Consider the following 15,397-nt stretch of genomic DNA (forward strand, 5'->3'; position numbering starts at 1 on the left):
CCAGGCTTTGGTATCAGGATGATGCTGGCCTCATAAAATGAGTTAGGGAGGATTCCCTGTTTTTCTATTCGTTGGAATAGTTTCAGAAGGAATGGTACCAGCTCCTCCTTGTACCTCTGGTAGAATTTGGCTGAGAATCCATCTGGTCCTAGACTTTTTTTGGTTGGTAGGCTATTAATTATTGCCTCAATTTCAGAGCCTGTTATTGGTCTATTCAGGGATTCAACTTCTTCCTGGTTTAGTCTTGGGTGGGTGTATATGTCGAGGAATTTATCCATTTCTTCTAAATTTTCTAGTTTATTTGCATAGAGGTGTTTATAGTATTCTCTGATGGTAGTTTGTATTTCTGTGGGATCGGTGGTGATATCCCCTTTAACATTTTTTATTGCGTCTGTTTGATTGTTCTCTGTTTTCTTCTTTATTAGTCTTGCTAGCGGTCTATTTTGTTGATCTTTTCAAAAAAACCAGCTCCTGGATTCATCAATTTTTTTGAAGGGTTTTTTGTGTCTCTATCTCCTTCAGTTCTGCTCTGATCTTAGTTATTTCTTGCCTTCTGCTAGCTTTTGAATTTGTTTGCTCTTGCTTCTCTAGTTCTTTTAATTGTGATGTTAGGGTGTCAATTTTAGATCTTTCCTGCTTTCTCTTGTGGGCATTTAGTGCTATAAATTTCCCTCTACACATTGCTTTAAATGTGTCCCAGAGATCCAGGTACGTTGTGTCTTTGTTCTTATTGGTTGCAAAGAACATCTTTATTTCTGCCTTCATTTTGTTATGTACCCAGTAGTCATTCAGGAGCAGGTTGTTCAGTTTCCATGTAGTTGAGCGGTTTTGAGTGAGTTTCTTAATCCTGAGTTCTAGTTTGATTGCACTGTAGTCTGACAGACAGTTTGTTATAATTTCTGTTCTTTTACATTTGCTGAGGAGTGCATTACTTCCAACTGTGTGGTCAATTTTGGAATAAGTGTGATGTGGTGCTGAGAAGAATGTATATTCTGTTGATTTGGGGTGGAGAGTTCTGTAGATATCTATTAGGTCTGCTTGGTGAAGAGCTGAGTTCAATTCCTGGATATCCTTGTTAACTTTCTGTCTTGTTGATCTGTCTGATGTTGACAGTGGGGTGTTAAAGTCTCCCATTATTATTGTCTGGGAGTCTAAAGTCTCTTTGTAGGTCTCTAAGGACTTGCTTTATGAATCTGGGTGCTCCTGTATTGGGTGCATATATGTTTAGGTTAGTTAGCTCTTCTTGTTGAATTGATCCCTTTACCATTATGTAATGGCCTTCTTTGTCTCTTTTGATGTTTGTTGGTTTAAAGTCTGTTTTATCAGAGACTAGGATTGCCACCCCTGCCTTTTTTTGTTTTCCATTTGCTTGGTAGATCTTCCTCCATCCCTTTATTTTGAGCTTATGTGTGTCTCTGCATATGAGATGGGTCTCCTGAATACAGGACACTGATGGGTCTTGACTCTTGATCCAATTTGTCAGTCTGTGTGTTTTAATTGGAGCATTTAGCCCATTTACATTTAAGGTTAATATTGTTATGTGTGAATTTGATCCTGTCATTGTGATGTTAGCTGGTTATTTTGCCCTTTAGTTGATGCAGTTTCTTCCTAGCATCAGTGGTCTTTATGATTTGGCATGTTTTTGCAGTGGCTGGTCTCAGTTGTTCCTTTCCATGTTTAGTGCTTCCTTCAGGAGCTCTGGTATGGCAGGCCTGGTGGTGACAAAATCTCTCAGCCTTTGCTTGTCTATAACGGATTTTATTTTTCCTTCACTTATGAAGCTTAGTTTGGCTAGATATGAAATTCTGGGTTGAAAATTCTTTTCTTTAAGGCTGTTGAATATTGGCCCCTACTCTCTTCTGTCTTGTAGAGTTTCTGCCGAGAGATCCACTGTTAGTCTGATGGGCTTCCCTTTGTGGGTAAACCGATCTTTCTCTCTGGCTGCCCTTAACATTTTTTCCTTCATTTCAACTTTGGTGAATCTGATAATTATGTGTCTTGGAGTTGCTCTTCTCAAGGAGTATCTTTGTGGCATTCTCCGTATTTCCTGAATTTGAATGTTGGCCTGCCTTGCTAGGTTGGCGAAGTTCTCCTGGATAATAACCTGCAGAGCATTTTCCACCTTGGTTCCATTCTCCCCGTCACTTTCAGGTACACCAATCAGACATAGATTTGGTCTTTTCACATAGTCCCATATTTCTTGGTGGCTTTGTTCGTTTCTTTTTACTCTTTTTTCTCTAAACTTCTCTTCTTGCTTCGTTTCATTCATTTGATCTTCAATCACTGATACCCTTTCTTCCAGTTGATTGAATCAGGTACTGAAGCTTGTGCATTCGTCACGTACTTCTTGTGCCATGGTTTTCAGCTCCATCGGGTCATTTTAGGACTTCTCTACACTGGTTATTCTAGTTAGCCATTCATCTAATCTTTTTTCAAGGTTTTTAGCTTCTTTGCAATGGGTTCAAACTTCCTCCTTTAGCTCGGAGGAGTTTCATCGTCTAAAGCCTTCTTCTCTCAACTCATCAAGGTCATTCTCTGTCCAGCTTTGTTCCGTTGCTGTCTAGGAGCTGCGTTCCTTTGGAGGGGGAGAGGCGCTCTGATTTTTAGAATTTTCAGCTTTTCTGCTCTGTTTTTTCCCCATCTTTGTGGTTTTATCTACCTTTGGTCTTTGATGATGGTGATGTACAGATGGGGTTTTGGTGTGGATGTCCTTTCTGTTTGTTAGTTTTCTTTCTACCAGTCAGGACCCTCAGCTGCAGGTCTGTTGGAGTTTGGTGGAGGTCCACTCCAGACCCTGTTTGCCTGGGTATCAGCATTGGAGGCTGCAGAGCAGCGAATATTGCTGAACAGCAAATGTTGCTGCCTGATCGTTCCTCTGGAAGCTTTGTCCCAGAGGGGTACCCGGCTGTGTGAGGTGTCAGTCTGCCCCTACTGGGGGTGCCTCCCAATTAGGCTACTTGGGGGTTAGGGACCCACTTGAGGAGGTAGTCTGTCCGTTCTGAGATCTCAAACTCCGTGCTAGGAGAACCACTACTCTCTTCAAAGCTGTCAGACAGGGACATTTAAGTCTGCAGAGGTTTCTGCTGCCTTTTGTTTGGCTATGCCCTGCCCCCAGAGGTGGCGTCTGCAGAGGCACGCAGGCCTCCTTGAGCTGCAGCGGGCTCCACCCAGTTCGAGCTTCCTGGCCGCTTTGTTTACCTACTCAAGCCTCAGCAATGGTGGGCGCCCCTTCCCCAGCCTCGCTGCCGCCTTGCAGTTCGATCTCAGACTGCTGTGCTAGCAATGAGCGAGGCTCCGTGGGTATGGGACACTCCGAGACAGACGTGGGTTATAATCTCCTGGTGTGCTGTTTGCTAAGTCCGTTGGAAAAGCTCAGTATTAGGGTGGGAGTGACTCGATTTTCCAGGTGCCGTCTGTCACAGCTTCCCTTGGTTAGGAAAGGGAATTCCCTGACGCCTTGTGCTTCCCGGGTGAGGCGATACCTTGCCCTGCTTCGGCTCACACTCGGTGCACTGTACCCACGGTCCTGCACCCACTGTCCGACAAGCCCCAGTGACATGAACCCGGTACCTCAGTTGGAAATGCAGAAATCACCCATCTTCTGCGTCACTCACGCTGGGAGCTGTAGACTGGAGCTGTTCTTATTCGGCCATCTTGGAACCACTCCTCCGCCACCCCTGTTTGTTTTTTTTTTTTTTTTTTTTTTTTTTTTTGTAAAGACGTGGTCTCACTATGTTGCCCAGGCTGGTTGGAGTCCTTTTTTAAAGGCAAATAAAAATAACCCCTTTTATCTGTTAAGACTCATAAGAAATTGGCTGAAATAGATATTAGGATAGAGGACCAAAAATCCAGGGCTTCTGATTCTTAATTCTCAACCTTCTCCAAAGTAAACAATTTCTATTCCTACTAGAATGTTTCCAAAGAAACACTTAATAAATTTTTACAGAGGTCAAAAATAGTCTACTAGGCAAATTACTGTCTCTCTGAACTTAAATTAGATATGGCAGAGCCGTTGGATGTTGTTAGTAGTCCATCAAACAGACAACTACCATTTCCTCCTTAATTCAATGTAGCTCAAGTGTATTTTCCAAATCTGGAACTGACTAGGGCTAGGATCTGGGTTCGCTTTTTATTGAGAATGTAAGTCCATGTTGTAGTATAGCAATTTTACTTGTAAACATTTCTAATTTGTCTGAGACAGCAGAAAGTCCTGTTTTCCTCCTTTTTCCTTGCTAGGTCTAGGATGAGGTTTTTGGTTAGGAACCTTTAAAATAACCCAAGTTCAGTGTGCTCTACTTTTGATTATCCATCTTCTCTAAGGAAAGCACATACATACCTCCTTTAGAGAAATCTATATTCTTTTATGTAGCTTTTGTTAGAGTGCATTGGCCCACTCATTCAGTGCATCTGTTGGCTCCGATGTTAATTCTCAATAGACAAATAATATGATGCCTTTTAAGAAAATTACCACATACAAAGGGTAAGTGTCATCTACAACACAGCATGACTCTGTTTTGCACAAACTACTTGCAATTCCAACTGTTAAATAGAATCCCTAAAAGGTGAAATCATATGATTGAGTAAATTATGTGATAGAGTTACTTTATAGGTTTGCTGGACAGTACATCTGTTTTATTTGTGAATGTTGAATTTCATAGACATTTACTGTACTATAGCTAATCTTTCCTTTTTTGTGTATTGTAACATGCATGAACAGAGTTAAATCCCAGAATATGTAAAACCTGATCCAGGGCCTTGAGGAGTGAGGGGCCACATTGGGATGCAGTTTTTTGCCATAGTGAAAGTGATCCTTTATACTAATAGGGAAAACAGAGTATTTTTAGTTTCAGTAAATTGAGTAATTAGAGATTGTAGTTATTCTAATTTGTTTACCTGGAAATGACCATCAAAGTCTATGTTACATGCTGATACTAATTTTGAAACTATTTTCTTGTTTTCAGAGCCTTGCAAAGGACCATCGCATGAAACTTATGCAACAACAACAGGAAGTGGCTGGACTCTCTAAACAATTGGAGCATGTCATGCATTTTTCTAAATGGGCAGTTTCCAGTGGCAGCAGTACAGCATTACTTTATAGCAAACGACTGGTAAGATAAAGTATGCTATTTAATATACTGTAAAAATGCACAGTAAAACAATGGAGCCATTGTAATGCTTAAAATTTATTCTGCTTGTGCATCAGTGCTTTTTACCTATTTCTAATATCTATCAAAATATTTTGGTTTTAATATTTTTACCTGGCATAATTTGGGTGTAATTTCAGTTTTAATTTATCATTAATTCCTTTTTTTGTTCTTTCCAAGTATTCACTGTCTTCATAGCAATTGAAGTTAATATCAAAAATAAGGATGATAGTGAACATTTTCTGATTATCTATAGTGTGCCAGGTACTAATTCTAAGAATTTCCATGTAATATTTAAACTTTTACCTCATTCTTATGAGATATACCTATTCACCCCCCTTGTACACATGATGAAACTAAGGCATGTGATTATGTAACATGTCTAACATCACACAATATGAGGTATAGCCAGGGTTTATAATATGATCTCAGACATGACCTGAGCCTGTGTTCTTCTTCTTGGTGCTGCACGGCAATCTGTAGTGCTGGATATTTTTGCCACAGAAAAATAGCTCTGTGATTTGGTGAACTATTTGACATTGGTCTAGAACCTTACTACTTCACATATGACTACCACATCACTTGAGGATTCTGGTCAGGAGATCTGGGGTGGGGCTTGTGAATTTCTAACAAGCCTTCAGGTGACTCTGATGCTGCTTGGTCTGTGGGCTGTGCTTTGAGTAACAAAGATATAGAAGACATTTAGCTACATTCTTAAAAATTCCTGCTTTACATTAATCTTATTAAAGATTCAACAGAGATTTATACTCCGAAGTATACTATAAACCATAGGTTCAGTTCCAGACTATCGCAGTAAAGCAAATATCATAATAAGCCAAGCCATACAGTTTTTTTAAGTTTTCCAGTGCATATAAAAGTTTTGATTATAAATACTGTAGTGTAACTGTGCAGTAGTATTATGTTTTTTAAAAAAACAGTGTATATACCTCAATTAAGTAATCTTTTTTTTTTTTTTTTTGAGACAGAGTCTCACTCTGTCGCCCAGGCTGGAGTGCAGTGGCGTGATCTCCACTCACTGCAAGCTCCACCTCGCCGGTTCACACCATTCTTCTGCCTCAGCCTCCCGAGTAGCTGGAACTACAGGCGTCCGCCACCAGGCCTGGCTAATTTTTTGTATTTTTAGTAGAGACGGGGTTTCACCATGTTAGCCAGGATGGTCCCGATCTCCTGAGCTTGTGATCCACCCGCCTTCGCCTCCCAAAGTTCTGGGATTACAGGCGTGAACCACTGCACCCAGCTTAAAGAATACTTTATTGCCAAAAATGTTAATCATCTGAGCCTTCAAGAGTCATAATCTTTTTGCTGGTGGAGATGTTGATGGCCACTGGGGTTGTAGTTGCTGAAGGTTGGGATAGCTGTGTCAATATCTTAAAATAAGATGACAATGAAGTTTGCATTGATTGACTCTTTTTTAGTGGAAGATTTCTCCGTAGCATACAATGATAATTTGATAGTATTTTACCTACAATAGAACTTCTTTCAGAATTGGAGTCAGTCCTCTCAAAGCCAGTAGCTGCGGTATCACCTAAGTTTATGGAATATTCTAAATTCTTTGTTGTCATCTCAACAATGATCACAGCATCTTCACCAGGAGTAATTTCTATCTCAAAAAACCACTTTTCTGTGCTCATCCATAAGAAGCAACTATTCATCCATTCAAGTTTGATCATAGGATTGCAGCAATTCAGTCACATCTTTAGGCTCTACTTATTATTCCAGTTCTCTTGCTGTTTCTACCACATCTGTAATTCCTTCTTCACTGAAGTCTTGAACTCCTCCAGGTCATCCCTAAAGGTTGGAATCAACTTATTCCTAACTCCTGTTATTGTTGATATTTTTGTCTCCTCCCATGAATCACTAAGGTTCTTAATGGCATCTAGAATAATGAATCCTTTCTAGAAGGTTTTTAATTTACTTTGCCCAGATCCATCAGAGGAATCACTGTGTATGGTGGCTATTATACTAGCCTTATGTAACGTATTTCTTTTTTGTTTTTGAGATGGAGTCTCACTCTGTTGCCTAGGCTGGAGTGCAGTGGTGTGATCTTAGCTCACTGCAACCTCTAGCTCCCAGGTTCAAGCAATTCTCCTGCCTCAGCCTCCCAATAGCTGGGACTGTAGGCATGCGCCACCATGTCCAGCTAATTTTTCTATTTTTTATAAGAGATGGGGTTTCCCTATGTTTTCCAGGCTGGTCTCGAAACTCCTGACCTCAAGTGATCCACCCGCCTTGGCCTCCCAAAGTGCTGGGATTACAGCATGAACCACTGCACCCAGCCGCATAATGTATTTCTTAATAATTATTTCTTAAATAATACTTGAGGCCATGCACCTATAATACAACACTGAGAGGCTGAGGCAGGAGGCTCACTTGAGGCTTGGAGTTCGAGACCACCCTGCGCCACAGGGTGAGACCCTGTCGCTACCAAAAGGAGAAAAAAAAAGACATGAGAATCAGAATTACTTCTTGATTCATGGGCTGCAGAATGGATGTTGTGTTAGCGGGCATGAAAACAACCTTAATCTCATATATTTCCATGAGAGCTCTTGGGTGACCAGTTGTATTTGTCAATGAGCAGTAATATTTTAAAATCCTTTATTTTCTGAGCAGTGGGTCTCAAAAGTGGGCTTAAAATAATAACTAAAATATATTGTAAGTAGATGTGCTGTAATCCCGGCTTTGTTTTCACTTATAGAACACAAAAGCAGCGTAGATTTAGGATAATTCTTGAGGGCCCTAGGATATTTGGAATGGTCAATGAGCATTGGCTTCAATTTCAAGTCATCAGCTACATTAGTCCCTAACGAGAGTCAGTCTGTCCTTTGAGGATTTGAAGCCATGCATTGTCTTCTCTCTATGAAATTTCTAGATGGCATCATCTTCCAATAGAAGTCTGTGTCATCTACGTTGAAATGTGTTGTTTAGCATAGCCACCTTCGTCAATGATCTTAGCTGTATCTTTTGATTAACTTGCTGCAGCTTCTACATTAGCACTTGGTGCTTCACCTTGTACTTTTATATTGTGTATACTGCAGAATGGATGGTTTCTTTCCATAAATCTCATGGACCAACCTCTGCCACCTTAAAACTTTCTTTTGCAGCTTCCTCACCTCTCACAGCCTTCATTGAATTAAAAAGAGTTTTAGGACCTTTCTCTGAATTAGATCTTGGGTTAAGGTTATGTTATAGCTGGCTTGATCTTCTATCAAGACCACAAAACTTTCTTCCTATCAGCAATAAGTCTGCTTGGCATTCTCTTCATTCATGTGTTCACTGGAGTAACACTTTCGATTTCCTTCAAGAACTTTTCCTTTACATTCACAACTTGGCTAACTGGTGTGAGAGGCCTAGCTTTCAGCCTGTCTCAGCTTTGGACCTGCCTTCCTCAGTAAGCTTACTCATTTCTAACTTTTGATTAGTGAGAGTCATGCAACTCTTCCTTTCACTTGAACACTTAGAGACTATTGTAGGGTTATTAAATTGTTGTGTCTGAGACTACGGAGGCCTGAGGAGAGGAAGAAAGAATGGCTAAATTGGTGGCACAAACAGAATATACTATTTATGTTTGCTCTTACATGGGTGTGGTTTGTGGTGTCCCAAAACAGTCACAATATTAACATGAAAGACCACAATCACTATAACAGATTATTGTTAAGAATTACCAAAATGTGACAGAGACACGTGAGCATGTGCTTGCTGTTGGAAGAATGGTGCTGATTTTCTCAATGTGGTGTTGTCACAAACCTTAAATTTGTAAAATTTACAGTACTTACGAAGCGCAGTAAAGCAAAGCTCAGTAAAATGAGGTATGCTTGTATTACTACCTCTAAATGAAGTTTTCTGTCACCTATTCCAAAAAATGGAAGTCCAGAAATTTTCTATACAATTTTAAAATAAGGAAATGTGATTCTGGATAAACTTTATAAAGTAACTTCAAATATTGAGTGACATCAGAGTTCTATAACTTTTCTTAATCATGAATTGTATTTAATTCTTAGGATTTGTTTTCCTTTCATAATTATCAGTGCTATAGTCTCCATCCTGAGTCTTATTTTTTCATTAGTTTTAATGGAAAACATCTATACACTATATACCTTCTGTATTCTGTTACTTACATTTTTTTGAAAGTCAAATAGAAAAGGGATAGAGGGAATAGAGAATTGTGTTTTTCAACTTAATCCATCATGAGTATGTATGTGTAAGACACATTCATGCAATCAGATAAGCATTCCGTCAATCTCCTTATCAATTTAAAAATGTGTTTTTCATTGTGTTCTGATTTTGTTTGATTGTATTATGGAGAAAATAAAAATAGATGGGATAAATTAATTTACACAATGAACTGTTGAAATAGGAATGAAAGAGATAGTCATCTATATGATACATAGAAGAAAATAGGAGCAGTGAATCATATAGTACCAGTATTACCATATTCTTGGTTAACTAAATTTTAAAATCCTGTGGAACCCAAGTGAGCACTGATGCATTTCTAGTAGCAGCTGTAGATAATAATTTGCCTGTAATGCATGCAGAGCTGAGGTTCATGATTATTTTTAAACATTTAGAAGATTTTCTAACTTCAGAAAATGTGAAAATCATTATATTGTATAACTCTGTTCTCCAGAGTTCTGCTTTATAAATATAGCCATGTTTACTCAGGTTATCCTTTAAGTGATGGATTTTATGTGCTTAAAAAATGGAAACGAAATGCCTAGCAGCCCTGAAACCTCAAGCTTGGCTTGCTATTTTAAAAAATTTATTTATATTTTACTATATATTTAAAGTGTACAACATGATATTCTGACATATATGCATATTGAAATTATTGTTTCAGTCAAACAGATGAATATCCATTATCCTACTTACCTTGTATCTATGTGTATGGTAAGAACACCTAAAATCCATAACATTTTTGATATACATAACAGTGTTATTATGGAGGTTTTTTTGGTTTATTCTTTTGGTTTTCTGTTTTTTTTGTTGTTGTTGTTTGAAACAGGGTCTCCCTCTATCGCCTAGGCTAGAGTGCAGTGACATGATGATAGCTCCCTGCAGCCTCAAACTTGTAGGCTCAAGCGAGCCTTTTGCCTCAGTTCCCCAAGTAGCTGGGACTACAGGTGCATGCCACCATAGTCCAGATTTTTTTTTTTGTAGAGACAAGGTCTTGTTCTGTCACCCCAGCTGTCTTGAACTACAGGTGTGAGCCACCACATCTGGCTGGCATTACAGTGTTATTAACTGTAGTTCTTACTCTGTACATTAAATCTCAATGCTTATTCATTCTACCTACCTGGAAATTTGTACCCTTTGACTTCTCTACATTTCCTACCCACCTAGCCCCTAGTAACCACCATTCCAGTTTGTCTTCAACTTTCTAAAAATATTCCATGTATAAGTGAGATTATACAGTATTTTCATTTCTGGATCTGGCTTATTTCACTTACCATAGTGTCCTCAAGGTTCATCCTTGTTATCACAAATAGCAGGATTTCTTTCCTTTTTTAAGGTTGGATAATATTCTATTGTATATATCTACTGCAATTTATTTGTCCATGCATCATTGGATACAGGTTGTTTTTCTATCTTGGCCATTGTGAATAATGCTGCAATGACATGGGAGTGTAGATATCTCTACAAGGTCCTATTTCATTTCCTGTTGTAATATACCCAGCAGAGGGATTGCTGGACCTACAGTAGTTCTGTTTTTAATTATTTGAAGAACCTCCATATCGTTATCCGTAGTGGTTGCACCAATCTGCATTCCCACCTAAAGTGTACAAAGGGTTCCTTTTATCCGCACCCTGGCCAACACTTGTCTTCCTTGTCTTTTTGATATTAGCTGGATCCTAACAGGTATGAGATGATAGCTCATTGTGGTCTTGATTTGAATTTTCCTATTGATCAGTGATGTGGAACATCTTTTCATATGCCTATTGGACATTTTTATGTCTTCTTTGGAAAAATATAAATTCAAACTCTTTGCCCATTTCTTAATCACGTTATTTGGGTTTTTGCTATTGAGTTGTGTGAGTTTCTTATACCAGTTGAGCATCCCAACGGAAATCTGAAATTCTCCAAAATTCAAAACTTTTTGAGCACCATCATGACACCACAAATGGGAAATTACACACATAAGAATTGAACACACCTTGGATTCATGCACAAAATTATTAGAAATATTGTATAAAATTGCTTTCAGGCTATGTGTGTTGAGTATATGAAACATAAATGAATTTCATGTTTAGACTTGGACCGTATCCCCAAGATATCTAATTATCAATATACATAATACATAAAATCTGCGTGTGTGTGTGTGTGTGTGTGTATCTATATATTCACATAAAAACTATCAAGAATCTTACTGTCTTGCCTTCTCTTCCTGGCGTGGAGGCACCAGCATGGTGACTGAGGTCACTGCACATTGGAGAGGGTTGGGGAACCGCAACAGGCATGAAGCTGGCAGCCACGGATGTGAAGTGGTGAGGGAGGAATACGGAAGTGGTAAGAAGAATTAGCCAGTGTCATTTGGATTTTGGTTACATTGAGTAAATAAGTAAATGGATTGAATAAGTAAGTAAATATATTGAAGGTAATCGCAGCCAAGTTTCCAGAGAAGGTGTTTAGAAAGAAGTTAGGCTAGGAAGGGCCCAAAGATGTGTTGGATTGGAATTAAGAGTACAAGTATGAACTTAGAGTTTTATTTTTATTCTTGGACTCAGATCTAGCAATAATTATAGATGTATATGTCCATCTGTATGTGTGTATGTATTCGTTGTTGGTGTGCTGCATCCCAATAGCAGTGAGGTCACTTCCTTCCAGATCTTGGTTTCAAAATACCAAAGAAAGGGGGGGAAAGTAAAAGTTGTGCCCAGAACATGTTGTTATACCAGAAAACTACCAAAATGCTCAGAGAATAATGGGGACATGTCAAAGGGAACAGGATTCAGTGTAAAAGGGCTCCCACTGGGAAAACCAAGAACAAATTTGAGGATCAAAATAAGTCACTGTAATAATAAATTATAACACACTGAATTAAATAAGATTACATGAATTCATAACATAAATCAGTAAACAGTAGATTATTTGGGGGAGAAGTTGATAACAAAACTAAAAGTTATAGAAAGAACAATGGGTATACAGAAGCACATTTGACCACTATCATAGAGATAATTTGGGAGGACTAATTAGTGGCTGTAAATATGCTGGGTAGAGGACTGATGGGGAACAGAGTATTAGTAGAATCTCAGAATACCTCTTCAACTTTAAGGTTAAGAAATTGAGTAGCAGAATTATAGATCAAGATTAATATCACCAGTGGTATGACAAGTTGACATCCTACGTTTCCTGGCACGTCATCATTTGTGTGGTATTCTTGCCAAGAATACTGTAACTAAGTCTGATCAGGAGGAAATATCACCCAGGTTAAAGGTCATCCTGCGGAATGTAAGGCATAAAATCTTCAAAACACATCAGGGACATGAACGAAAGGGAAAGACTGAGCAACTGAAAAATGAGGCAGCTAAGCAACTTATATCCTTGATGGCATCATGGAAAAGACTGCTGAAACTGTTGGCATTTGGATGAAGTGTTTAAACTGGATGGCTGTGTTGTAACAGTTGGTTTATGAATTTGGAATCTGGGATTTGGTTATGTTAGAAGATCTTTGTTTTAGGATATCCATACTGCAGTATTTAGGGAAGACAGGACCTCATTCCTGTAGCTTGCTCTCAAAAGTTTTGGAAAAAGACTAATAACGTGTGTAGGAGCAGTTGGGTGGGCACTGGAGCAAATGTGGTCATAACTTAACACTCAGGGAATTTGGGTGAAAGGAATGTAGGGTTCTTTTACTTTTCTGGCAGTGTTTCTATGATTTCAAAATTATTTAAAAATAAATGATTAAATGGCTATTGTCAAAAAGATAAAGGTAACAAGTGTTGGAGAGGATGTGGAGAAAGGGGAACGCTTGCATCCCGTTGGTGAGAATGTAAATTAGTACAACCATAGAAAACAGTATGGAAGTTCCTTGAAAAATTACATATAGAAGTATCATGATCCAGCAATCTCACTTTTGGGTATATATTCAAAGGGAATGAAATCAAGATCTTGAATAGATGTATGTACTCCTGGGTTCATTGCAACATTATTCACAATAACCAAAAAATGGAATCAGTGTAAGTATTCAACAGATAAATGGATAAAGAAAATGTGGTACATATACCCAATGGAATACTATTAAGCTTTATAAAAGAAGGAAATCCTGTCATTTGCAACAACATAGATGAACCTGGAGGACATTATATTTACTTCATGATCTCACTTATACGTGGAAAAAAGTTAAACTCAGAGAGAGTAGAATGGTGGTTACCAAGGGCTGGAAGGGATTCAGGGTATTGGAAGGGATGTTGATCAAAGGCTGCAAAATTTCAATTAGATAGGAGGAATAAGTTCACCAGAGCTATTATACGACATGAGACCTAGAATTAATAACACTGTGTTTGTATTCTTGAAAATTGCTAAGAGAATTGATTTTAAGTGTTCTCATCACAAAAAAATAAGTATATGAGGTAATACATAGATTAATTCAATTTAACCATTTCACAGTGTATATTTCAAAACATGCTGTACACAGAAACATATTCAATTTTTATTGGTCAATTAAAATAATGCTTTTTAAAAATAAATTATTAAATTTTAGATAAAACAATTATTAAATTTTAGATAAAACATAGTTCTTAGAATATTTCTTATGGTTAGCATGACTGCTGCCTGGTAAACACTTTGCTACATATTCTACCTAGTCCCAAAATAAGTTATTTATTTATTTATGTTTTTAGAGACGGAGCTTCCCTCTGTCACCCAGGCTTGGATTGCCTCCCAGGTTCCAGTGATTCTCCTGCCCCAGCCTCCCAAGTATCTGTGATTACAGGTGCATGCCACCACACCTGGCTAATTTTTTTGTATTTTTAGTAGAGACGGGGTTTCATGATGTTGGCCAGGCTAGCCTCGAACTCCTGACCTCGTGATCTGCCCGCCTTGGCGTCCCAAAGTGTTGGGATGACAGGTGTGAGCCACCGTGCCTGGCCTATACGTATGTTTTAAAAGTATAGCCAACGGGATTTGCCGACAGGTTGAATATAGGGTGTAAGAAAAAGAAAGGAGCCAAGGACTTTAAGTTGTAGGGAAAAACAGTATTACCAATAATTGAGATGGAGCAGGTTATAGGAAGAGTACACCTGAGGATAAAAAGTACAGTCATGTGTTGCTTGATGACGGGGATGCATTCTGAGAAATGGTAATTTCGGCATTGTGTGACATCATAGGATATACTTACACAAACCTAGATGGTTTACTCTTTTGCTCTGATCTGTACAGCATATCACTGTACTGAATACTGTAGGCAGTTGTAACATAATGGTAAATGTTTGTATATTTAAATGTAGAAAAAGTACAGTCAAAATACAATACAAAGGATTTAAAAATGGTACACCATGGAGGTTGCAGTGAGCCGAGCTGAGATCGCACCACTCCACTCCAGCCTGGGTGACAGAGTGAGAGTCAAAAAAAAAAAAACAGTATACCTGTATAGGTATAAGGCATTTACCATGAATGGAGCTTGCAGGACTGGAAGTTGCTCTGGGTGAGCAAGTGAGTAGAATGATGAATGACTGTGAAGGCGTAGGACATTACTGTACACTACTGGGGACTTTATAAGCACCTTACTTTTAGACTACATTAAATTTATTTGAAAATATTTTTTCTTCAATAATAAATTTTAGCTTACTTAAGGAAAGCTTACCGTAACTTTTTAACTTTATAAACTTTTTAATTTTTTAAATGTTTTGATTTTTGTAATAACCAGTTAGCTTAAAACACAAACACATTGTACAAATTCTTCCTTATATCTTTAATTCATAAGCTTAGGTATTTATTTGTTTATTTTAAAACCTTTTGTTAAAAACCAGGACAAAAACATACACATTAGCCTAGGCCTATCCAAAGTTCATATCATCAATATCACTGTCTTACACCTCCACATTTTGTCTCACTGGAAAGTCTTCAGTTCTCATCTCCTATTATAATAATGCTTTTTCTGAGACTATCTCTTGAAGGACTTGGCTGAGGCGGTCACTTTTTTTAGTAAGTAATAGGAGTACACTCTAAAATAATGAGAAAAAGTATAATATAATAAATACATAAACCAGTAACATAGTCATTTATTATCATTATGCAAC

General features: G+C 38.2%; 1 protein-coding gene across 3 annotated transcripts in view, besides 1 other annotated feature; it reads left to right on the forward strand.

The window, feature by feature from the left end:
• Positions 1-15,397, forward strand: part of TRIM24 (tripartite motif containing 24) — a 129,738-nt gene that overhangs the window by 73,437 nt on the left and 40,904 nt on the right. For all 3 annotated transcript variants that reach the window (NM_015905.3, NM_003852.4, XM_024446981.2), the window contains exon 7: positions 4,962-5,108. In NM_015905.3, the coding sequence (NP_056989.2) occupies positions 4,962-5,108 (147 nt within the window). The remainder of the gene's footprint in view (positions 1-4,961; positions 5,109-15,397) is intronic.
• Positions 8,551-8,670: an enhancer, noted in NCBI's record as "active region_26743". NCBI's record gives its function as "activates an Ori minimal core promoter by ATAC-STARR-seq in GM12878 lymphoblastoid cells {active_cell/tissue: GM12878}" and the evidence as "EXISTENCE:reporter gene assay evidence [ECO:0000049][PMID:35858748]".

The sequence above is a fragment of the Homo sapiens genome, chromosome 7 (assembly GCF_000001405.40).
Source record: "Homo sapiens chromosome 7, GRCh38.p14 Primary Assembly".
NCBI lineage: Eukaryota > Metazoa > Chordata > Mammalia > Primates > Hominidae > Homo > Homo sapiens.